This window comes from Homo sapiens, chromosome 20 (assembly GCF_000001405.40).
Source record: "Homo sapiens chromosome 20, GRCh38.p14 Primary Assembly".
Classification (NCBI taxonomy): Eukaryota; Metazoa; Chordata; class Mammalia; order Primates; family Hominidae; genus Homo; species Homo sapiens.
This window is the reverse complement of record NC_000020.11, coordinates 56,434,146-56,457,665: the sequence shown is the minus strand read 5'-3', so window position 1 is coordinate 56,457,665 and position 23,520 is coordinate 56,434,146. Positions and strand designations below refer to the sequence as shown.

Sequence of the window (23,520 nt, the reverse complement as noted above, 5' to 3'; positions counted from 1 at the left end):
TAAAAACATTTAAAAAGCCAAAAATCCTCTGATTTCAGTATCAGAGATATATCAGAACTCTCAACATTTCCAGAAGCAACTAAATACCCTGACCTATCTGCCTTAATATTATTTATTTTATTTTTTGCCTTAATATTAAAATATTTATCATATTTGCTAATAAGGTTTCATCAAAATTTTACATTCATGAATTTTATTTTCTGGAAAATGGAACCAACTTCTCCCAAATCCTACATACTCTCAAAGATTTTCAGTACCTAACTTAGTGGCCACAACTCCAGGTAACAATTGAAAGGTGAAGCTCAGAGAAGAGAAAAGGCTGCCTCCGGCTATTCCATTAGCACATGAGAGATCTGGAGCTCTAGGTCTGAAACTTGCTTTCTTTCCATTAAATTTCACACGCTCGCATTTACCTATTATCTCAAAATTCATAGCCCGGAAGCATTCAGACAGATAGGGCATAAAACTGATTTTTTCAGAAGGGGGTTATGTCTCCTAGTAGGGTTGGAGGGGAAGTTAGACAAGGAAGAGGAAGGCATACTTCGAAGAAGCACCTTCATTATTAGAATTGCATATTTGGAAAATGAAAACAATGATTGTCTTTGTCATAGAAAGTGAAGGAAAGATTGAAATGTCAGTTCACATGGACTCTTGGAAGCAGGGAGTATAAGAATGAAGCAGGTTGAGTGCAGTGACCCACACCTGTAATCCCAGCACTTTGGGAGGCCGAGGCAGGAGGATCGCTTAACCCTAGGAGTTTGAGACTAGCCTTGGCAACATACGAAACTCTGTCTCTACCAAAAACAAAACAAAACAAAAATTAGCCAGGTATGGCGGTGCGGGCCTGTAGTCCCAGCTACTTGGGAGGCTGAGGTGGGAGAATCGATTGAACCTGGGTGGTGGAGGCTGCAGTGAGCCATGATCTCACCACTGCACTCTAGCCTCAGCAACAGAGCAAAACACTGTCTCAAAAAAATAAAATAAAAAAGGGAGCTGGGCACGGTGACTCACACCTGTAATCCCAGCACTTTGGGAGGCTGAGGCAGGAGGGTCACTTGAGGTCAGGAATTTGAGATGTGCCTTGCCAACATGGTGACTCCCTGTCTCTGCCAAAAATACAAAAAATTAGCCGGGTGTGGTGGCAGGCGCCTGTAGTCCCAGCTACTCAGGAGGCTGAGGCAGGAGAATCGCCCGAACCTGTGAGGCGGAGATTGCAATGAGCTGAGATCACGCCACTGCACTCCCACCTGGGTGACAGAGCAAGACTTCGTCTCAAAAAAAAAAAGAAGAGTTTAGAAATAACGAGAAGTAATGAGGTAGGCATCAGATTATGAGCATCTTAAGTGAAAATATTAACCGTAGGGAGGTGAAAAATGTACTAAGATTCTTAACATGGGGTGCTGGAAATGTGTGGAGATAGTTTTGGTTATCGCATTGACTAGGGACTTCTATAGGCAGTGAGCGGGCAGGGGTTCTGGGATGCTGAACGGTTCACCACGCAATGGAGAACTGTCCACCCGGTGGCCAACGGTGCCCCGGGCCTCCACTGAGAAGTGCTGTCAGTCTAAAGCGGGGGCTTTCCAAGTGAGGTCCTTGGACCAGAAGCATCAACGTCACCTGCAAACTTGCTAGAAATGCACATTATTATGCTGCACCCCAGACCTACTAGATCAAAAATTCTGAGAGCGGGGCCCAGCCATGCAAGTTTGTTTGTTTTTGTTTGTTTGTTTTCTTGAGACAGAGTCTTGTTCTTGTTGCCCAGGCTGGAGTGCAGTGGTGCGATCTCAGCTCACCGCAACCTCTGCTTTCCGGGTTCAAGCAATTCTCCTGCCTCAGCCTCCCGAGTAGCTGGGATTACAGGTGCCCGCTATCATGCCCAGCTAATTTTTTGTATTTTTAGTAGAAACGGGGTTTCACCATGTTGGTCAGGCTGGTCTCAAACTCCTGACCTCAGGCGATCCACCCGCCTCGGCCTCCCAAAGTGCTGGGATTACAGGCGTGAGCCACCATGCCCGGCCAGCCATGTGAGTTTTAACAAAGATCATAGGTGATTGTGATACACTCAAATGTGAGAACCACTAGTCTAAGGCCTACTTAATGTTGAACAAAATAGCATAACTGTCAGCAATATGGCAGGCCCAAAGACTAGTGTTTGGGGTTCAGGGAGCTGAGCATCAGGAGGCCTGAATTCTTGTCCTAGTTTGCCTCTGAGAAGGTACATGACCTTATCCTATCATTGGACATCCTTTTCTTCCACCCTCTACCCCATCTGCCCTATAACCTAGGTAAGTTTCCCAAGCTCAGTTATTCAGAGACAACCTTTACAACCTTTACAAGTTATACTCTTTCCACCTTCCTCTTAACTTCTACTGGCTTCATTCCTTTCCTTTAAATGGACCCATTGTTTTTACTTACATTAATTTAAAGGAAACTGTGAAAAATGGTAAATGGAAAACTACTGTCATTGACCACAAATAGAAGGAAACCAATAAAAATAAGCACAACGATAACATCTTTGACTTTTTTTTTTTTAAAAAAGGAAGAACATCAAGTGTAAAAGAGGTGTTGAAGATATACAAGCCCCAAATCAAGATTTGCTGTTGTAATCAGAAACATTAAATCAGAATGTCAAAGAGGAACGGAGTCAGTCCTATTTAGCCCTGTCAGTACCACCCACAACAACCTTGCAGAGCCCCTACAGTCATTTCAGTAATGGTTAATGCTTCACTTTCATTCCCTGGGGTTCGTTCATTAGACTCAGTGATCTCCAGGACTCTCTTGCTAAAATAAAGGACAAAGAATCACAAAAACGAACTCTCGCCCATGTGGGTCATGGCTGTAATGTTGAGCTATCCGTAGCATGATGAGACGAATCTAGCAATAGAGCGTATGAATCAGAAGCTTTAGAGAGTGAGTGCTATAGCTTACCATGGTTCCTAAGTCTTTGTTTTCATCTAACCTTTATTCCAAGATAGGTTTATCTTTCTCTTCTAAGTTAGGCAATGTCTGAAAAATAAAATCCCTTCAACTTACCAAATTGAGTGGTGTTTTACACTACAGTGGAACTGTTTAAGTTCACTTTAGACTTGAGCATTCTTTCTCATATTTTCTGTTGATGGTTCTGCCTACTGATTCCTTTTCTCAACCAAAGGAGACTTTGGCCACCCAAAGGCTGAATTTTGCCTATCAACATGGCCTGATATAATGACCCACATGGTTTGTTTAAAGTTATATATATGTGTATGTAAATTTTAAACATCCAAATTTCTAGAACATGTTAAAGCTCCTACACCACCAGGCATTTCAGCAGAACACAAAGGTCGGGGCTGAAAGTAGCAAATTATCTCCTTGACACAGCCCCCAAGTGACTTCTGGGCCTCTTAAGGCTCACAATCCCTGAACTGAAGCATCTCGCTCTATAATGTCTGAACTCATCCAGAAAAGTATTTCTTTCTGTCTTTTGTTTTTTTGTTGTTGTTGTTCTTGAGACAGAGTCTTGCTCTGTGGTCCAGGATGGAGTGCAGTGATGCAATCTCAGCTCACTGCAACCTCTGCCTCCTGGGTTCAAGTGATTCTCCTGCCTCAGCCTCCTGAGTAGCTGGAATTACAGGCGCACACCACCATGCCCAGCTAATTTTTGTATTTTTAGTAGAGATGGGGTTTCATCATGTTGGCCAGGCTGGTCTCAAACTCCTGACTTCAAGTGATCTGCTCGCCTTGGCCTCCCAAAGTGCTGGGTTTACAGGAGTGAGCCACTATATCCCAACTCTTTTTTTTCTTTTCTTTTTTTTAGAGATTAGCTCTTGCTCTGTCACCAAGGCTGGAGTGCAGTGGCACCATCATAGCTCTCTGCAACCCCAAACTCCTGGTCTCAAGGGATACCCCCACTCAGACTCCCAAGTGCATGAGCCACTACACCTGGATATTTAAAAATAAATTTTGTACAGCTGGGGTCTCACTATGTTGCCCAGCCTGGTCTCAAACTCCTGCCTCAAGGGATCCTCCTGCGTTGGCCTCCCAAAGCGTTGGAATTACAGGCATAAGCCACCAGGCCCAGCCTCAGAAAAGTATTTCTAAGAGTAGCTGAAGTCTGGGGGCTGATCAGACCATGGGCAATTTGAAAGAATGTTTCTACTTCCTCTTTCGTTGCTAAGAAACACACTGAGAATGACTAAATTTATAACTTTCAAAAATGCAAGGAGACTTGGTGGTGAGGTTTTAAAAATCTACTCAAATAATAAATTTTTAAGAAATTTAAAAATCCCTTTTAATTCTAATATGGTAAACTTGAACGCCAAAAGTTTTCGGAAGAAATCCAAATCAACTGACCTATCTGCCTATGCTGACCTATCTTTATCTGACTTGTTAATAAGATTTCATCAAGAATTTTACTTTCATAAATTTTATTTTCTAGAAAATGGAACCAGTGTCTCCCCAAAGCCTATACACTATGGAAAGAGTCTCAGCATCTTAGTAGCCACTACTCCAGGTAACAATTGAAGCCCCTTTTTCGATCACTTGGAACTCTGAACTCACCTGTCCACAGATATTTGCCCTATTTTTCTTTAATAGTTCAGAAGAGTGTTCATCTTCCCTTTGCTTAGTGGAAGGGGTACTCTTTTGGTGTGATTCAGTTTCTCTTTGGGGAGGCTGGATGTATTTTTCACACTTAAATTCTGCATTTGGGGTCAACTGCACAGTCTCTTCCTTTTCACAGTTCCGCTTAAAAAGGAGCCTTCCATTGGCAATGACAATGGAGGCAAACCTCTTGATGTCTTCTGGAAGCATCCGTGCCACCATGACAAACCTCTCAAGGTCATCTGGGCTGTTCTGGACACTGTCAGTCACAAGAACTTCCAGAGGCCAATTGCGATTATCCAAGCTTTCCTTTGTTTCAAGCAGGATGCGGTAGGAGTTGGAGATGGTCTGCATCTGGTCCCGAATTCTGTTCTGAAGGTTACTGTCAGTGAGGTTACAGGCAGTCCCATGGACTCCTCGGGCAAAATCCAGAAATTCTCTTACAGATTCTTCTATGTGATCAGTGGACCTGTGGATTGCATCAATGTTGGCCTCCAGATAGTCTCGGAATCTCCACTTCCTGCTGACAAAGAGCATCAGGCCAGCGACAGAGCTGACCACCTTGTGCTGCAGAGCCATCACTGTCTCCTTGGCCACATCCAGGTCCAAGGAGAGCTCCTTTGCTGACTCCTCCGAGGAAGAGCTGGAGGAGTCGTCGGTGGATGTGGTGGAGCACGAGGAAACGATGCTAGCTCTGCTGTCAGAACTGGAACCTGATAATCTGTCCGGTTCAGGAGATGGGGAAGTTGTCCGTCTGGAGAACCATGAGGAATTATGGCCCGCGGAATTCTCTGACACCTCCTTGGCTTTCTCCAGCTCCTTCCCAGCCTGAGAAACACTCGACGTTGCTTTAGGGATGTCATAAATATTGGGCTTGGTGTTCTGCTGTTCCACTCGGGGAATCAGAAAGCTTGAAGGAACCTTGTAGCTGACATCTTCATCCAAAGGAAATGTGCCTCTGGGTACAAGAAAGCCATAAGAAGGAATTTCTGGAAGGCTGAGTTTTTTCTGCATGGGCACATTGTTATTCAGTTGTGGAGTGAGGGACCTGGATCTGCCACTTGGAGGATTGTAGAAAGTGGAGCTGGAACTGGGGAGAGCGTGGGGCCTTGATTCTTCCGCAAAGCTGGTGAGAGGCGTGTTTCTGACGCTGGCCTTTCCTGGAGACACTGGAGTGTCATAAATCCATTCCGATTTCTGAGGATTTGGTAATGTGCTGTAACCGCCTCTTCTTAAGGTAGTCACTGATATCAGGGGAACACCCTGCCCCTGTGGGAGAACCACACATAGTTGCCGGGTTAGTAGCTTTCCAAAGAGGGCGCGAGTGCGTTGTTTAAATCTCATCGTCACTCCGCCGCTCCTTCAGTGGCTCCCCATTTCTGTTACCACTCAAGGTCCTTCAGGATTCTTTTGAGCCTCATTTCTTTCGACTTCCACCACGCTGACCCCACCTGGTCTGCCACCATCTGCTTACAGGTCCAGCCACCCAAGCTGTTTACTTTCCCCTGAACTCAGAACACTGACTCATGCCAGTGTATTTAATTTTACCCAAACTGGTTTCTCTGCTCTAAATGCCCTTGGCAACCCTTTCTTTTCCATCCACCAAACCCCTATGCATCCCCCTGACACGGCGAAATGCCAGCCTTCTTGTAAGATGTTCCCTAATGACCTTGGGTGTAAGTGTGTCTGTGGGACACATGTGGTAGAATCCAATTATAAACATAGATTACACAGATTTCAGATAAAGTCCTTTGCCCAACACAGATAAAAGTGTACTGTATCACAGCACGCCCCTGAGGTCTGTCGTAAGAAGAAGCCATTACATAATTTCACACCATGCCAGGCACTGTCCCGGGTCCTTTGCAGGATTATCTCACTTAATACTCCCAGCCCATAAAAACAGAGAAGTTAAACGACTTATCCCAACCACGTAATTAGTCCTATTCCTGAACACAAGTGCAATGAGAGGTTTTACCTCAAATGCAACAAGGTCTCTGTTATGAGGAATTTGCATTCTAATTTTTGACCAAGCTAATAACATTTCTTTCTTTCTTTTTTTTTTTTTTTAATTTTTGTATTTTATTAGAGACAGGGTTACACCATGTTGGGCAGACTGGTCTTGAACTCCTGACCTCAAGTGATCTGCCCACCTCAGCCTCCCAAAGTGCTGGGATTACAGGCGCCCACTACCACACCCAGCCAATATTTGTATTTTTAGTAGAGATGGGGTTTTGCCATGTTGGCCAGGCTGGTCTTGAACTCCCAACCTCAGGTGATGCACTCACCTCGGCCTCTCAAAGTGCTGGGATTACAGGCTTCAGCCACCGTGCCTGGCCCCAAGCTAATAACATTTCTGAGAGGATTTTGTGTGTTCATAACACCGCACCTTAGCACCTCTTCATACTTACACTTGCTTGGCTGTCTGGGGGATGGAGTCCTGCCTTCTTGGGGCTGGCTGGTATGTCATATAACTGCTGCTTCTCTGGCTCCTGGGGAAAGACCACAAAGGCAGACAACTTGAATGTTTCTTTCCTAATGGCTACACATCACGAACACTCCCTATTCCAGTGTTTTTTTCCAAAGGAAGACACAAATTCCTGAAGACTTTTCGGTGCTTTTGGTCATGATGCTGTAATGGTAGAAATCTGGGTGACAGGTCTCCCGCCTTCCTTGTCTGAGGCAACGCAGGGGACATCACAGTCCTTTTTCCCATAACAGGGTATACATTCAACAATGGACTTTGTGCTTTAAAAAGAGACTTCTCAGCCGGGCGTGGTGGCTCACGCCTGTAATCCCAACACTTGGGGAGGCTGAGGCAGGAGGATCACCTGAGGTCGGGAGTTCGAGACCAGCCTGGCCAACATGGAGAACTCTATTAAAAATACAAAATTAGCCTGGTATGGTGGCGCATGACTGTAATCCCAGCTACTCGGGAGGCTGAGGCAGGAGAATCTCTTGAACCTGGGAGGTGGAGGTTGCGGTAAGCCAAGATCGCACCATTGTGCTCCAGCCTGGGCAACGGGAGCGAAACTCCATCTCAAAGAAAAAAAAAAAAAGACCTCTCAACCAAAGGTTGGGGGGCAAACAAGAGAGCCTTAACTGCAGTTGCCTAAATTAAAAATGGTAATTTATCTTGAGTTCATCTTAAAATTAAGCCAGAGGATAAATGAGACTGAGACCTAATATGTCTTCTTTCTTTTTCTCAGTAGAAATTTTCCTGTTTTATCATTCATATTTATTCTGCAAATATTCAACGAGTGCCCACTAATGACCAGACACGAAGCTGGATGACACTGTGCACATCACGACAGCAATAAAAACAGGGTATGAGAGACTCATTTGATAAATGTGCATCTTAGCAATGACCTAAGTGCCAGGCACTGTGCTTCCTAAAAATCTTTTTTATTTTATTTTATTTTATTATTTATTTATTTATTATTTTTATCTGTGTAATTAGTTTAATAATTTATGATTATTATTATACTTTAAGTTCTAAGGTACATGTGCACAACGTGGAGGTTTGTTACATATGTATACATCTGCCATGTTGGTGTGCTGCACCCATTAACTCGTCATTTACATTAGGTATATCTCCTAATGCTATCCCTCCCCCTACTCCCCCTACCCCATGACAGGCCCCGGTGTGTGATGTTCCCCACCCTGTGTCCAAGTGTTCTCATTGTTCATTTCCCACCTGTGAGTGAGAACATGCGTTGTTTGGTTTTCTGTCCTTGCAATAGTTTGTGCAGAATGATGGTTTCCAGCTTCATCCATGTTCCTACAAAGGACATGAACTCATCGTTTTTTATGGCTGCATAGTATTCCATGGTGTATATGTGCCACATTTTCTTAATCCAGTCTATCACTGGTGGACATTTGGGTTGGTTCCAAGTCTTTGCTATTGTGAATAGTGCCGCAATAAACATACGTGTGCATGTATCTTTATAGCAGCATGATTTATAATCCTTTGGGTATATACTCAGTAATGGGATGGCTGGGGCAAATGGTATTTCTAGTTCTAGATCCTTGAGGAATCACCACACTGTCTTCCACAATGGTTGAACTAGTTTACAGTCCCACCAACAGTGTAAAAGTGTTCCTATTTCTCCACATCCTCTCCAGCACCTGTTGTTTCCTGACTTTTTAATGATTGCCATTCTAACTGGTGTGAGATGGTAGCTCATGGTGGTTTTGATTTGCATTTCTCTGACGGCCAGTGATGATGTGTGCTTCCTAAAAATCTGATTGTCACTCCCCTGCTCAAACTCCTTCAGTGGCTTGAGATATATATATGACATAACATATTATATATGTAATGTGTACAGTAATTAAAAAACATATATATTAGGATACAAAAAACAGGTTACAAATTCCAAAGCAAGGCAAGAGAGCACCAAAATAGGTTTTGCAAAGAAAGAGAGAAAGAGTTGGATATTGGAAGGGGTTTCTGTAGAGGGAGTTGGGCTGTGAGTCTCCTGAGGGCTCTCCTCAGCTGGGAAATGGGGTGCGGTGTAGCGGGGGTTGCCTTTCACTCCCCAAAAGCAAACCATCAAGTGTTCCCATGGGACCATTCAATGACTTGAGTTGTATCCCCTGAGCTTGGGGTCACAGTGGTTGGGCGCTGACTCTGGCTTGGGAAAGTTGAAAAGAGAGAGGGTGGCAGCCGTGCTGTGGATGGCCTGTTCTCAGGGTCAGGACCAGGGGGAGGAGAGCAAAGCAGTTGCCTTGGGCACAACATTAAGAGGGCACCAAAAAACTCAATCATCATAGTAAATACTATTTAAAATGCAATATTTTTAAAAATCATAATGCAAAAAAATCATGGTGAACAAAATGTCACAGTTTTACATAAAGACAGGGTCTAGTGGGGCTGGGATTAGGGCAAGATGAGTGAAATGAGTCATACAAGTGTGTCTTCATTGATAACTATTTTTTTTTTTTTTTTTGAGACAGAGTCTCACTCTGTCTCCCAGGCTGGAGTGCAGTGGCGCGATCTCTGCTCACTGCAAGCTCCGCCTCCCGGGTTCACGCCACTCTCCTGCCTCAGCCTCCCGAGTAGCTGGGACTACAGGCACCTGCCACCATGCCCGGCTAACTTTTTGTATTTTTAGTAGAGACGGGGTTTCACCGCGTTAGCCAGGGTGGTCTCCACCTCCTGACCTCGTGATCTACCTGCCTCAGCCTCCCAAAGTGCTGGGATTACAGGCGTGAGCCACCGCGCCCGGCCCATTGATAACTTTTACACCCAAGGCAAGCGCCTGTGCTCCTGGAGTCTATCATGGCAAAGGGAGCTTGTGTGTTTGTCATGGACCAGGCATGGCTCACACAAGAGCTGGAGCAAGAGCCAGGGAGGAATGGCTCAGGGAATGTCACGAGGATGTGGCTGGAAATGACCTGCCTGCCCCAGAGCTAAGGGAGGAGCCAGCAGCCAGAGGAGATGCATTTGTCCACCTGGAGGGACTTGCAGGTAAGAGATGCTCAGCAAGGAGGTGAGGGGTAGGAGGTGGGGGGCACTTACAGGAATACCCCAGAAGAGAAAGAATCAGCTTGCCATACTGGCCACTGCTATTAGCACATCTGCCAACAGAACCAGGTGAGCAGGACCTTTGTCCCTGCCTGCCTCTTGCAGCCCTGCAGGAGTCTGAGACCACCCAGTGAGTGAGAAAGGGTAGAAACCTGAGATGGTGAACCAGCAGAGAACTTAGCCAGTCCCTGGAGCCCAGCCCAGCAGGCAGGCCCAAGCTGGGCAGCAGGAGCTTTAGCTTTAAATGAACTAGAAAGTTTGATTATTGCCTGGACAATTAAATTTCTCAACTGAGCCTAGCAAGGCTAAAGTGACTTCTTTTTTTTTTAATTTTTGATTTTGATTTTTTTTTTTTTCAGACAGAGTCTTGCTCTGTCACCCAGGCTGGAGTACAGTGGTGTGATCTCAGCTCATTGCAACCTCCACCTTCCAGGTTCAAGTGATTCTCCCACCTCACCCTCTCTAGTAGCTGGGACTACAGGCGTGAACCACCATGCCCAGCTAATTTTTGTATTTTTAGGAGAGACGGGGTTTCACCATGTTGGCTGGGCTGGTCTCGAACTCCTAGTGTCAAGTGATCCTCCTGCCTTGGCCTCCCAAAATGCTGGGATTATAGGTGTGAGCTGCCGCACCTGGCCAAAAGTGACTTATTACCTGTGAGTGACCAGGAAGTCACAGAGCCTGCTTGAAATTTTATTTAGACTGGAACTGTGGTTCTCAATCCTGGCTGCTCAGTACAATCACCTGAGGGCTTTTAAAAATCCTGATGTTTGGGCCCCATCTAGACCTGATTCAACAGTCTCTGGGGTTGGGGCACAGGCACCAGGATGGCTAAAGCTCTCAGATGCTTTTGCATACAACGAAAGTTGGGAGCTACTGATCCCAATGGTAGGTGGGTGGGGAGAACGCCACCGCAGAGCATTTGGATGGGCTAAGAAAGGAGCAAAGCTATTTTTTGATCACATGAAGCATGTCTTACAAATGTGATATTCCACTTATATACAAACAAGTTAAAAAAAAACAACTAAAATTTCTTCCCCCAGAGATAATCAATGTTAAGATAATCAGTGATAATCCGTGTTAAGACTGTGGTGCATATCCTTCAAAATATCATTTAAAAAAATGTGTGTGTATGTACACACATACATATATTAAATATCTATTATAAATAATGGCTGGGCACGGTGGCTTATGCCCATAATCCCAGCACTTTGGGAGGCTGAGATGGGAGGATTGCTTGAGGCCAGGAGTTCGAGACCAGCCTGGTCAACAAAGCAAGACCCCATCTCAACAAGAAAAAGAAAAAACAATCTATTATAAATGAAAAGTAAAAATTTCAAAATATTCAGAACTCAAGTAGTCATAATGTTTTCTAGAGCAGGACTGGGCTCCATGGGTAAAAAGGAGGTTATGAAGTTGGCCTCTGAGTGGTGATGTGTATTCTGGAGGCTGAGCCCCTGGCCGCCATGGTAATGCTGAAATGCAATGTGGGCATGATCCCAAGAACCCCAGACTCTGGGCGCAGAGGTCTGGGTGATGAGGGGCCCCTGAACAAGGCTCACCTTCAGGACCACGGGGCCCCGGTGCTGGGTAGGCACGTCATACACCTGGGAAGGCAGAGTCGGCAGTGAGGCCCGGACAGGTCTGGGAAGCGTGAGGATGGCCTTGGAGAGAAAGGAGGAGAAAAGAGGAAAAGGAAATGTCACTCTGATGATCACAATCAGGTTCAAAGTCATCTCTCCAAAAGCAGAGACAGCTGGGTGGATACTGCTGAAGGGGTCGCCCGGCACCCCCGCTGGCAGGCTCTTCACTCTCAAGACAGCAGGGCACGGGTGGGAGGCTCCCCGGTGGAGGCAGCCTTCCTCGCACGTGGCCCACGATGTTCTTTACCTGCCTCACCTGGGAAGTTCACCTGAAGCAGGTTAACATGAAGATTCTTGGGCCCACGCGAGTTGGACGGAGTCTCTGGGTGTCGAGGGGGGCCGGGAACCTGCAGTGTTAACAAGCTTGCCAGGTGATTCCGATGTTCTCTAGGGACCAGGAGGCTGTGACTCTGATACTGAGCTATTCGTCTACATTCATCTAGCTAGGCTGAGGCTGGAGAAGTGCACGCAATAGGCAGAGGGGACTTTAAGAATGTAAGGTGGAGGGACCAACAAGGTCTGGGAGGAAACTGAGGTCTGAGAGCTGTCTAAGGACTTGTCACCTGGGCTGAGGCAGGGAAGCAGGAGGTGACCAGTTGAGCTGCAGCTGGCAGCTTTTGCTGGCAGCAGTGGGAGGCAGAAGAGAACCTGGCAATGTGAAAGTGATGGAGAGGAGCGAGGGAGGGGAGGAGGGAGAGGTGGAGTGGGAAAGGTTAACAGGGAGCAGGTCAGTGAAGGAGTTTGAATTTTGTCCTACAAAGGATGGGATTGACCATCCAATTTATATACATATAAACCTTTTTTTTTTTTGAGATGGATCTTCGCTCCTGTTGCCCAGGCTGGAGTGCAATGGCGCGATCTCGGCTCACTGCAAACTCCGCCTCCTGGATTCAAGCGATTCTCCTGCCTCAGCCTCCTGAGTAGCTGGGACTACAGGCACATGCCTCCATGCCAGGCTAATTTTGTGTTTTCAGTAGAGACAGGGTTTCACCATATTGGTCGGGCTGGTCTTGAACTCCCGACCTTAGGTGATCTGCCCACATTGGCCTCCCAAAGTGCTGGGATTACAGGCGTGAGCCACCGCGCCTGGCCCCGATTTATATTTTATTGAGAGCACCTGGCCAGTTATTGCTCAAGGCACTTTGGGAAACATGGTCTCAGCCATGGAACCTGGGTCTGTGAATGGGAACTTCAGATTCAAGTTAATCCTCCAGAGCTCAATGATGTTGGCTCAATGGTGGGTACCACACTGGGTGCCACAGAGCAGCTTCCAAACCCAGCCAGGGATCCGAGTCCCCTGGGGAACTTTAAAATAATACAGCTGCCAAGTCTCCCACCCAGACCTCCTGAACTAGAACGTCTCTAGGAGGGGACTAGGAATGCGCACATTTTTCTAGAGTAGAAGATGCTGTCTACCACGGGCTTAAAGTCTAAGAGGGAAATGAGGTCTGAATATAGGCTGGGCACAGGCTGGTAAGCAAGACAGGGCCTGGAGGAGAGGACAGGGTGAAGCTCCGGAGTCCAGGACAGGGGGAGTGTACTTCCCACTGGCGTCCCAAGGAGCTGTTGCTCAGTAGGGGGCTTTCCAAGTTGGCTCAGGGGATGTTAGGGTTTCAATATGCAGAGCTGAGGGAGGGGAACGCAGGCAGAGGAGCAGTTTCTGAGGACTGGGTCAGGGTCCCTCTATTCATCATGGTGTCCCCGGGATGCAGCACTGGGAATGTACATGCTAGATTTATCTGTTTGTTTTTGGTGAGTGGATGTGTACGGCTTGGATGGTAAACATTAGCACACAGTGTAAAAATCCACCCCGCCATTCATCTGGCTAGACTCACGGATGCAGACAAAGCAGCCGCAATGCGAACAGGATGAACATTTCTTCCAAGGACACGCTGCAGCTGTCACATGTCAAAACAGCCCCCTTCGTTGAGTGACGACTGCTTTCTTACTCCCTGAGAAACTTGGTTCCCTGAAATCCTAGGCTCTCGAAGCCCAGCTTTCCAAAGCGCTCTCAGTAAGAATGAAGCATCCCACTCTCGCCTGGGGGATCTGAGTCATTGACAGAGAAGCAGCCTTGATTCCCAGGCCCTCATGTAGCGCTTCAGACAAGGGGTTTCCGGGTCCAGGACTCCCCCTCTATCTCCGCTTCGTGGTTCCCAAGGGGAGAGCGGCCCTCGTCCAGCCTGCACGCTGCCGTGTTGTGCACAGAGCCTATCAAGACACAGCTTCGCTTAGACTTCACCTAAACCCCGCCTTTCCCCATCCCATCACGATGCTACCTTTTCCTGTTTGTGAGCTGCCTCATGGTTCCTCTGCTCTGTGATCTCCCTCTTTACACTCAGTAAACCTGACTTTGTTCCTGATGGTCTCAGGCTGATTGGTCTAGGTGGACAAGCCCATCAGTGGTTTCCCATTGCATTTTGAATGAAATCCAAGCTTCTTTTTTTTTTTGGAGACGGAGTCTCGCTCTGTCACCCAGGCTAGAGTGCAGTGGTGCCATTTCGGCTTACTGCAACCTCCACCTCCCGGGTTCAAGCGATTCTCCTGCCTCAGCCTCCCGAGTAGCTGGGATTACAGGTGCCCGCCACCACACCCCGCTACTTTTTTGTATTTTTAGTACCACGTTGGCCAGGCTGGTTTTGAACTCCTGACCTCAAGTGATCCACCTGCCTCAGCCTCCCAAAGTGGAAGGATTACAGGCGTGAGCCACCGCGCCAGGCCAGAAATCCAAGCTGCTTACCCGGTCTGACAAGCTATGCACCCGCCACACCCAGGGACCTTGAGTGAGTGTCCCGGACCACTGGCTGTACCGCCAGTGGTACCTCCCAGAAACACACCAAGCTTTCTCCCCCCGCAGACCCTTTCCAAATGCTGTCCCAAGGCCCATTCCTCCCCATGACTTCAGGCCCATTTTATTTTGATGGCTGACTGTGGGATCCCCTTTGCCTATAAGGGCACCTCCACAGAGCAAAGGGACTTTCCTGTGTATGACATTTCAGATGGAAGGAAGCCAGCTCAAAAATGCCCAGTGCTTCTTGGAAAACGTAGGCCCAGTATGGCAATCAGTTAAGGAACATGTTTGAGAAACACAGTTTCGAAAGGTTTAGGGAGACAGAAGGAAACTCCAGTTCAGGAACTAGTGGATCCAAAAGCAGTTTCACCAGGAAATCTGACCCTTTTCTCTTGAAATACAAGAGTCCCTTCTGAATTTAAACTGAAATCAAATATGCTCTTGATGTGGTGGGTTTTTTTTTTAAATTAGGCCAGCACATTATATTAAGGAAGTTGGGATAAAAAGTAAAACAAAGCTCAAGATAGTGGTTACCCTAGTGGGGAAGTGACAGAGAGAAGGCACTGGAGGCTTCTGGGGTGGTAGTTTTGTTGTTTCGTGGTCTGGATATAAGTTACAGAGCTGTAACGTAGCATCTGTAGGTGAAATTTCAGTAAAGTGTTCATCAGAAAGAATAGCGTCAGCCACAGAGTCAGGTGAAAGAAGATCAAGGAATAAGGGCTGTGTTTTGGGGGGTGATGGAAGTCGTACTTCATCAGCTGTGTGGCTGCACGAGCAGTTTCACCTCCCTGGGAATTAATGTCCTCATCTGTAAAATGAAGAGTTGTTCTAATCTAAAGATATGCAGAGATCGCACCCAGCTATAGAGATGTCTGATTCTGACACATAGACGCCTCTCTTAGGACAACTTGAGAAAAATGACATGTTTCCACCTTCTCGGATGTTAATTTGGGGCCACTCTTAGTCTGCAGACTGTCAACACAGATATAGAAAGGAGTCCGTGAAGTGCCTCACAAAGGCTGTGTTCCAAGCCTGTGAATTTGCCATGGGAAAACAGTTCAAAACCCGTGGCTCAGAGTTGCCCCGTCTACCAACAGCCGCTTCCATTTGGAATGTATTTTCTGGGCGGGTTTAGCCTCAGGGTTAATGGCTAGATGACATGAGCAGGGAGGAGACGCCTGCCTTTTCTGTGGATCAGAAAATGTGTAACTGATTGTTAACTGGTCTTCAAGTTCTTCTAGCTCCTTCCTTCTCAGAGTAGAGGAAGAAGAAAGTATTTAGAAAAACCAAAAGGTACATCTGAAGGTGACTTTAGAAAAGATGGGGTCCAACCTTCTCCCTATACAGAGGAGGAAGGAGAAACACAAAGGGTGTTGGGAGGTCCCCAATCACCCAGTGCAACATTGGCTGCCCCAGAAGCCAAATGAGATGGCACTCCTGAGTTGTAAGCCACAGACCACATCTCTTGCTAAGAGACTCCAAGCACAGAGAAGGCAAGAAATTAAAAATTATTATTATTTTTTTGAGACGGAGTTTTCCTCTTGTCACCCAAGCTGGAGTGCAGTGGCGTGATCTCGGCTCACTGCAACTTCCACTTCCCGGGTTCAAGCGATTCTCCTGCCTCAGCCTTCTGAGTAGTTGGGACTACAGATGCATACCACCACACATGGCTAATTTTTGTGTTTTTAGTAGAGACAGGGTTTCACTATGTTGGCCAGGCTGGTCTCAAACTCCTGACCTCAGGTGATCCACCCGCCTTGGCCTCCCAAATTGCTGGGATTACAGGTGTGAGCCACCGCACCCAGCCAATAAATTAAAACAATGTTTAAGTAAATAGGCTGGGCACAGTAGCTCACGCCTGTAATCCCAGCACTTTGGGAGGCTGAGGTGGGCAGATCACCTGAGGTCAGGAGTTCGAGACCAGCCTGGCCAACATGGCGAAACCCTGTCACTACTAAAAAATACAAAAAAAATTTAGCCAGGCGTGGTGGTGGGAGCCTGTGTTCCCAGCTACTTGGGAGGCTGAGGCAGGAGAATCTCTTGAACCCAGGAGGCAGAGGTTGCAGTGAGCCGAGATCACGCCACTGCACTCCAGCCTGGGTGACAGAGCGAGATTCTGCCTCCAAAAAAAAAAAAAAAAATTTTTTTTTTTAAGTAAATAAATAGGAAGGGAGGGAAGGAAGGGAGCAAACTTGTAGGTAGGGCAGACATGGAGGGAACTTAAGGAAGGAAAACAAGGCAGGAAATTCCCCTGGGGGGTTTTACTGTGGCCACCTCAAGAACTCTGCTCAGTGGTTAAAGGGACCCCCCCTGAATTTCCTTGCGGTTTCTGTTGTTTGCCACAGCCTGCACAAGCAAGGCCTCAAATGGTTGATGCACTTAACATCAAGGACAAATCTCATTGCTAATGCCCTGATCATTTTTCAAAGTTAAGTTTCAATAGTAAACTCATCTTTCCTTTCACACGGATGTCAGTCTAGCAGTTGATAGTGGACTCCATGTTTTTGAAACCTTGTGTTGTGTTTGGTCAATTTCATTCATGCAACAGGTATTTACTAAGTACCTTGTAGGAGCCTGTCATTGTATTGAGTGGCATGAGCAGGGAGGAGGTGCCAGCCTTGCCAGCCTTTTCTGTGGATCAGAAAACTTAACTGATTGTGAAGTGGTCTTCGAGGGTCCTCTGGTCAACCAACAGAGGACAGCGCATCTGTTTTCCTTTCAGGGAGAGGAAGGAATTGCTATTGATTTTTTGTTTTTTCTTTTCATGGCTTTGGAAGAAATTCAAGTTAACTTCAGTTAATGTCACTTGTTGTTCTTAGAAGAAACCTCAGCAAAGCTCTGCTCCGAGTCAGCTGCTCAGACAGCAGCTGAGCATGCCAGGCCTAGATCGGGGCCAGTTGTTCCAGAAAAGAGAGTTAGTGTCCACCTCATTGACTGCTTCAGAAGGCGCCACCAGCTTCCTCCTGGTGTTTGTAGCGAGTGCCTGTGCTGGCAGCTGTTCTATGTAACAACTGTCTGGTTCTATGTCTTGTAGCCCAGGGAGTTAGAAAATGTAAAGTATTCAAAATCTTCTAAGGAATCAACACTTTCCTGTTTGAAGACAACCTTGGAAGCTGGTGTGGAGAAGGCCTGAATGGTGAGTAGCACATTCCTGGGGCCCCCACAGCACATGCCTCAGGGAGCTTGGCCTTTCCCTGCACACAGACCTTGCCAAGACCCTCTGCCAGAGCTGTGGCCGGGTGGGATGTGTCATGGGAGCTGAAAGCAAAGCATCTGATGGCAGGAAATGCCTGCAGTGACTGAGGCCTGTGCACATCTGCTCTACATCTCAACACCTCATGAAGGCCAGGGCTTTGAGGGAAATAGCGCATTCTTTTTCTCCTTCCTTACTTTAATTCTTTTCCTTATTAAAAAAAGTTTTCATTCTGCATTTGTTTTATTATTTTTTAAGACAGGGTCCCGGTCAGTCACCCAGGCTGGAGTGCAGGGGCGCCGTAGTAATAATAGCTCTCTGCAGCTTCAATCTCCTGGGCTCAAAGGGTCCTCCTTCCACAGCCTCCTGAGTAGCTGGGACTATAGGTGCCTGCCACCACGCCTGCCTAATTATTTTTTATTATTATTAGTAAAGATGAGGTCTCACTATGTTGCCCAGGCTAGTCTCAAACTCCTGGGCTCAAGCAATCCTCCTGCCTTGGCCTCCCAAACTGCTGGGATTACAGGAATGAGCCACCAAGCCTAGCCCATTCTACATTTAATGAATGCTCTTTTTCCTCTGTTTTTAAAAATTGATACTTTAGGCCAGGCATGGTGGCTCACACCTGTAATCCCAGCACTTTGGGAGGCTGAAGCAGGAGGATTGCTGGAGGCCATGAGTTTGAGGCTGCAGTGAACAGTGATTGCACCACTGCATTCCAGCCTGGGAGACAGAGCGAGACCCAGTCTCAAAAAAACAAAATAATTGATATTTTAAAAAGTTACAGATGTCATACATGTTCAATATGACATAAAAATCAACTTCCTAATTTGTTTGTTTGTCAGATATGTATTGAGCACCTACCCCAGGCCAGGCCTGGTCCCACGTGCTGAGGACACAGGAATGAATAAAATAAAGGCCCCAGCTTACTGCTCCCTTTCTCTTTAACCAGTTCCCCTTCCTTGGGGTAACTATGCCTGGAGCATGTTCTTCTCAGTCTCAGTGTGAGAGCACACATGCACATACACACTCACATACAGAATTCCTTTTTAGAGTTTTTTGTTTGTTTGTTTATTTTTGAGATGGAGTTTCACTCTTGGCGTCCAGGCTGGGGAGCAATGGTGCGATCTCAGCTCACTGCAACCTTCCCCTCCCAGGTTCAAGTGATTCTCCTGCCTCAGTCTCCCGAGTAGCTGGAATTACAGGTGCCTGCCACCATGCCCAGCTAATTTTTTGTATTTTAATAGAGACGGAGTTTCACTATGTTGGCCAGGCTGGTCTCGAACTCCTGACCTTGTGATCTGCCCGCCTCCGCCTCCCAAAGTGCTGGGATTACAGGAATGAGCCATTGCGCCCTGCCTCTTTTTTGAGTTTATATCTGTTTGGTTTTTGTTTAAATAGATCTTTCTTCCCTCTTATAAATGCCTCATTCTTTTTTTAAACAACTGCACAGCAGCTTGTTGTGGTGATATGCCAAGATATGTATAACCAATCCACTGTTAATAAACATTTAGGCCTCTTTGAGTTTTCTATGCCATAATGGCTACAGCCTCCTCATCCAGACATATATTTGCCTGCTTGTATATTTCCATAGCAGTTCTAGAAATAAAATTTCTGCATTGAAGGGGATATACTTTTTTTTTTTTTTGAAAACAGGTTCTCACTGCCACCGAGGCTGGAGTGCAGTGGCACAATCATAGGTCACTGCAGCCTCGACTTCCTGGGCTCAACCGATCCTCCTGCCTCAGCCTCCCACTAAGTAGTTGGGACTACACATGTGTGCTACTATGCTGGCTAATTTTTAAATTTTGGTAGAGACAGGGTCTCACTATGTTGCCCAGGCTGGTCCCGAACTCTGAGTTCAAATGATCCTCCTGTCTCGTCCCCCCAGAGTACTGGGAATATAGATAGGTGTAAGCCACCATGCCCAGCCTGGAATATACATTTTAAATGCGATGTGTAACTTCTTGCCTCTGAACCCATGGAAACCCCACCCTCCCATTTGTCACTGGCAGTCCTGGTGATCCTTCATCCTGTGAAAAGGGTGCCACGAACATCCTCAGTGCCTTCCCACACAGCTCAGCTAAGCATTCCATTTCCCACAGAGTGTGCCCAGCCTTGGAGAGCTGGGGAATCACAGTGGCGCCAAGGGTGTCAACGACAAGGGGGTGGAGGCCGCTGAGTTCTCCATCCCAACCTGGCACACAAGCTCCCCGAGCGTGATTGCCAGCAATCTGGGCTCCCGTTTTGCGTGTTTGATCTGAAGGACACCCATGCCTCAAGAGGTAGTTAGGCCTCTGGGTGTTTCCATACCCCTCAACCCATGTCTAGTAGGTGGAAGTATGCGTACCTGTTTTGGAAAGCTGAGAGTCTTTTCACAGATGATTCTGGCACTGGTGGGAGGGTCGGGGAATTCATAGACTTGGGCAGTAGGGGGCTGGGGCCCCTCCGCCCAACTCCTCATCTGCTCATAAACGGGGCCTGGAGTGGGAGGGCGGGGTAGAGTGGGCACCTGATAGGTCTCCTCTGAGCTGGCAGGAGCTTCTTCCAGGCCTCTCAGGAATGGGGGGCACGGCCTGTCTGCAGCGACCTCCGTGAGGATTTGGAGGCGGTTGGCAGGGGCCAGGCCTTGCCTCCCATGGAGCAAACACTTCCACCAACCCTCGCTTTCTGGCACGTGTTGCTCCAGAATGGTCAGGATGTCCCCTCTGCTGAAAGCCAGCTCGTCAGAGCAGTCAGGGCAGTTGTCATAAAGTGCCCTGGCCAGGAGTGCCTGTGGGTGGAGAGGGGAGAAGAGAATTTGCAGTTAGCACCGTGGCCAGTGACTGCTACTCCAATCCCACTCTCTTAGAAAGCTTCATACAAATTCATCATGCCCTTTCATTTCATTTCTTCCACCCCAGAGGCTCTTGTCCCTGCTCTTTGATTTGTTCCTTCACATCCTTGGGGTCTAAGTGAAATGTCACATCCTCAGGGCAGACTTACCTGTATCCTGAGACGAGGTCGGATGGTCCTAATATGCTTTCATGGCCCTGTTTGTTTTTGGTTTTGAGACAGGGTCTCACTCTGTTGCCCAGGCTGGAGTGCAGCGGTGAAATCTTGGCTCACTGCAGCCTCGACCTCCCGGGCTCAGGCAGTCCTCCCACCCCAGCCTCCCAAGTAGCTGGGACTACACATGCGTGCCGCCACCCCGGGCTAAATTTTGTATTTTTGTAGAGAAGGGGTTTTGCCATTGCCCAGGCTGGTTTCCAACTCCTGGGTCATGGCCCTGTTTTAATTTGTGGAAATTATGACCCTTGTAGTTATGTAGTTCAGTGCAGCATAGCGCACATAGTGGGGTAGAAATTCGTACCTGTGTACCTTTAAGCAAATTAGCTACCCTATTAGAGCCTCAGTTTCCTCATCTGTAAAATGGTAATAATAGTAATACCTACCTCATGGGGTTATTGTGAGAATTAAATGGGTTGAGATATTTATATATATGTATATATACACACACACACTATATATGACGGGTTGATATATATATGTACCCAACATATATCCTATATATATATATATACATATATATATATACACACACACACACACACACACACATATATATAGCAATCCATTATATATTGTGTATACATATGGGTATCTCTCTCTCTGTCATGTACAGGTGCCTGACATTTAGTAAGTACTTGGTACAGGCAGCTGTGACTGTTATTACTATTAGATTGCTTTTTGTCTGGTTTTTGCTATTTTCCTTCTGAATTGGATTGGCAGTTCTGTGACTGCTGGGCCCACACCTCACTTGGCTATTCTGTCCCCAGTGTCAGGCCCAGACCCAGGTACATAGAGTATGCTCAGTAAATGTTCATTAATAAGTGAATGACAAGAGGCTGGGCGCAGTGTTTCACGCCTGTAATCCCAGCACTTTGGGGGGCCGAGGAGGGCAGATCACTTGAGGCCGGGAGTTCAAGACCAGCCTGGCCAACATGGTGAAACCCTGTCTCTAATAAAAATAAAAAAAATTAGCTGGGCAGAGTAGCGCATGCCTGTAGTCCCAGCTACTCGGGAGACTGAGTCAGGAAAGTCGCTTGAACCCTGGAGGCGGAGGTTGCAATGAGCCGAGATCATGCCACTGCACTCCAGCCTGGGCAACAGAGGGAGACTCTGTCTCAAAAACAAAACAAAAGAAAAAAGAAAAACTAGTGAATGACAAAAGACTTAGGGGGTTAGTGACTTGCCTGCGGTCACAAAGCCAGGATCAAACCCAGTCTCCTAATTCTCCAACCCATGCTCTTTCAGTTAGCCACACAGTTCTAAAAAAAGTCGCCTTGTTACCACGGCAGTGATGGCCGAGCCCCCTTCTTATTTGAACTTTCCACTGTAATTACATGAAGGCAACTTGTTTCTTTAGGTTTTAAAGTAATCACCTTTCCCAATCTTTTTATATCAATACATGTTCATTACAGAAAAAGAGAGAAATAAAAGAAGGAAGTGAAAATTACCCATAATCCCACCACTAAAAGATACCAATTCACACCATTTTTGGTATTTATCCTTCCAGTTGTTTTTTATTTTTCTAAATAAATTTAATTACACCTTTTAAACTCATTAACCTTTGTTCATACTTTCATAAATAAAGCAAAAGTGACCAACTCTTCCATTATGTTTGTTGAAAATTATTGTGCTTCTTGCCTAATATCTCTATTCTGTTACAAAAATGGAATTGGAAGACCAATGCTGAAAAATACCATCTTAACCAGACAAGCAGGTCTGTGTGGATTAGGGGAAACACTACTACAAGTCTATCTAAAAAGCGTAAGAAGAATCAGATCCTTCACGCACCCAGAAAGACATTGAACATCCCCCACAAAATCTAATACAGCTGAGATCCCAGGAGATCATGAACAATTTTTGAAAATAAAACATTTTGTTCTTTCTACAAAAGTAATAAAAGTTCATTAAAGAAAAAGTAAAAATAATAATAAGCAAACAGAAGAAAATTAAAATGCCTGCAGTGCTGCCACCACAGGTAACTGCTGTTAATCCTTCGGTTTTTGTGTTTCCAGATCTTTTCTTTTGCATAGTTGTTCACATACACACCTAGAGTCATCATTAAAGTTTTAAAATCTAATGGCATAATATGAAACACACAATTTTATAATCTGCTTTTTTTTCCCACTTAAAAATAAATTGTGGGACCGGGCACAGTGGCTCATGTCTGTAATCCCAGCACTTTGGTAGGCCGAGGGGGCAGATGATGAGGTCAGGAGTTTGAGACCATCCTGGCAAATATGGTGAAACCCCATCTCTACTAAAAATACAAAAAAAAAAAAAAATTAGCTGGGAGTGGTGGCGTGCACCTGTAGACCCAGCTACTTGGGAGGCTGAGGCAGAAGAATCACCTGAACCTGGGAGGCAGAGGTTGCAGTGAGCTGAAATGGTGCCACTGCATTCCAGCCTGGGCAACAGAGTGAGACTCCATCTCAAATAAATAAATAAATAAGTAAATTGTGAGCATCTTTCCGTGTCAATAAACATTTTTCAATATTCTTTAAAACAGTGGCTTGGTTTTCCATTGTACAGATGAAACATAATTTTTCTTCTTGGTTTTGGACATTTTAGCTAATTGCAGGTTTTAGCTATTACAAACAATGCTGAAATGATCATCTTTATAGCTAATATTTGCAACTCCCCTTATTTATTTCCATGGATAAATTCTTCAGTGGGAAGTCGGTGGGTGGAAACCATCAGGGCTCCGGATGCTGTCACGTTGCCCTCCAGCAAAGTTCAATCA

The 23,520-nt window shown here is 46.3% G+C and overlaps 1 protein-coding gene across 5 annotated transcripts in view; it reads right to left on the bottom strand.

Moving 5' to 3' along the window:
* CASS4 (Cas scaffold protein family member 4) overlaps positions 1-23,520 on the bottom strand; it is a 48,347-nt gene that overhangs the window by 2,717 nt on the left and 22,110 nt on the right. For 2 of the 5 annotated variants that reach the window (NM_001164116.2, NM_020356.4), the window contains 4 exons: positions 20,080-20,502; positions 11,665-11,766; positions 6,987-7,067; positions 4,537-5,847 (listed from right to left, as the gene is read on the bottom strand). In NM_001164116.2, coding sequence (NP_001157588.1) covers positions 4,537-5,847; positions 6,987-7,067; positions 11,665-11,766; positions 20,080-20,502 — 1,917 coding nt within the window. The remainder of the gene's footprint in view (positions 1-4,536; positions 5,848-6,986; positions 7,068-11,664; positions 11,767-20,079; positions 20,503-23,520) is intronic. The other 3 variants (XM_006723831.4, NM_001164114.2, NM_001164115.2) reach the window with 2 other exon arrangements.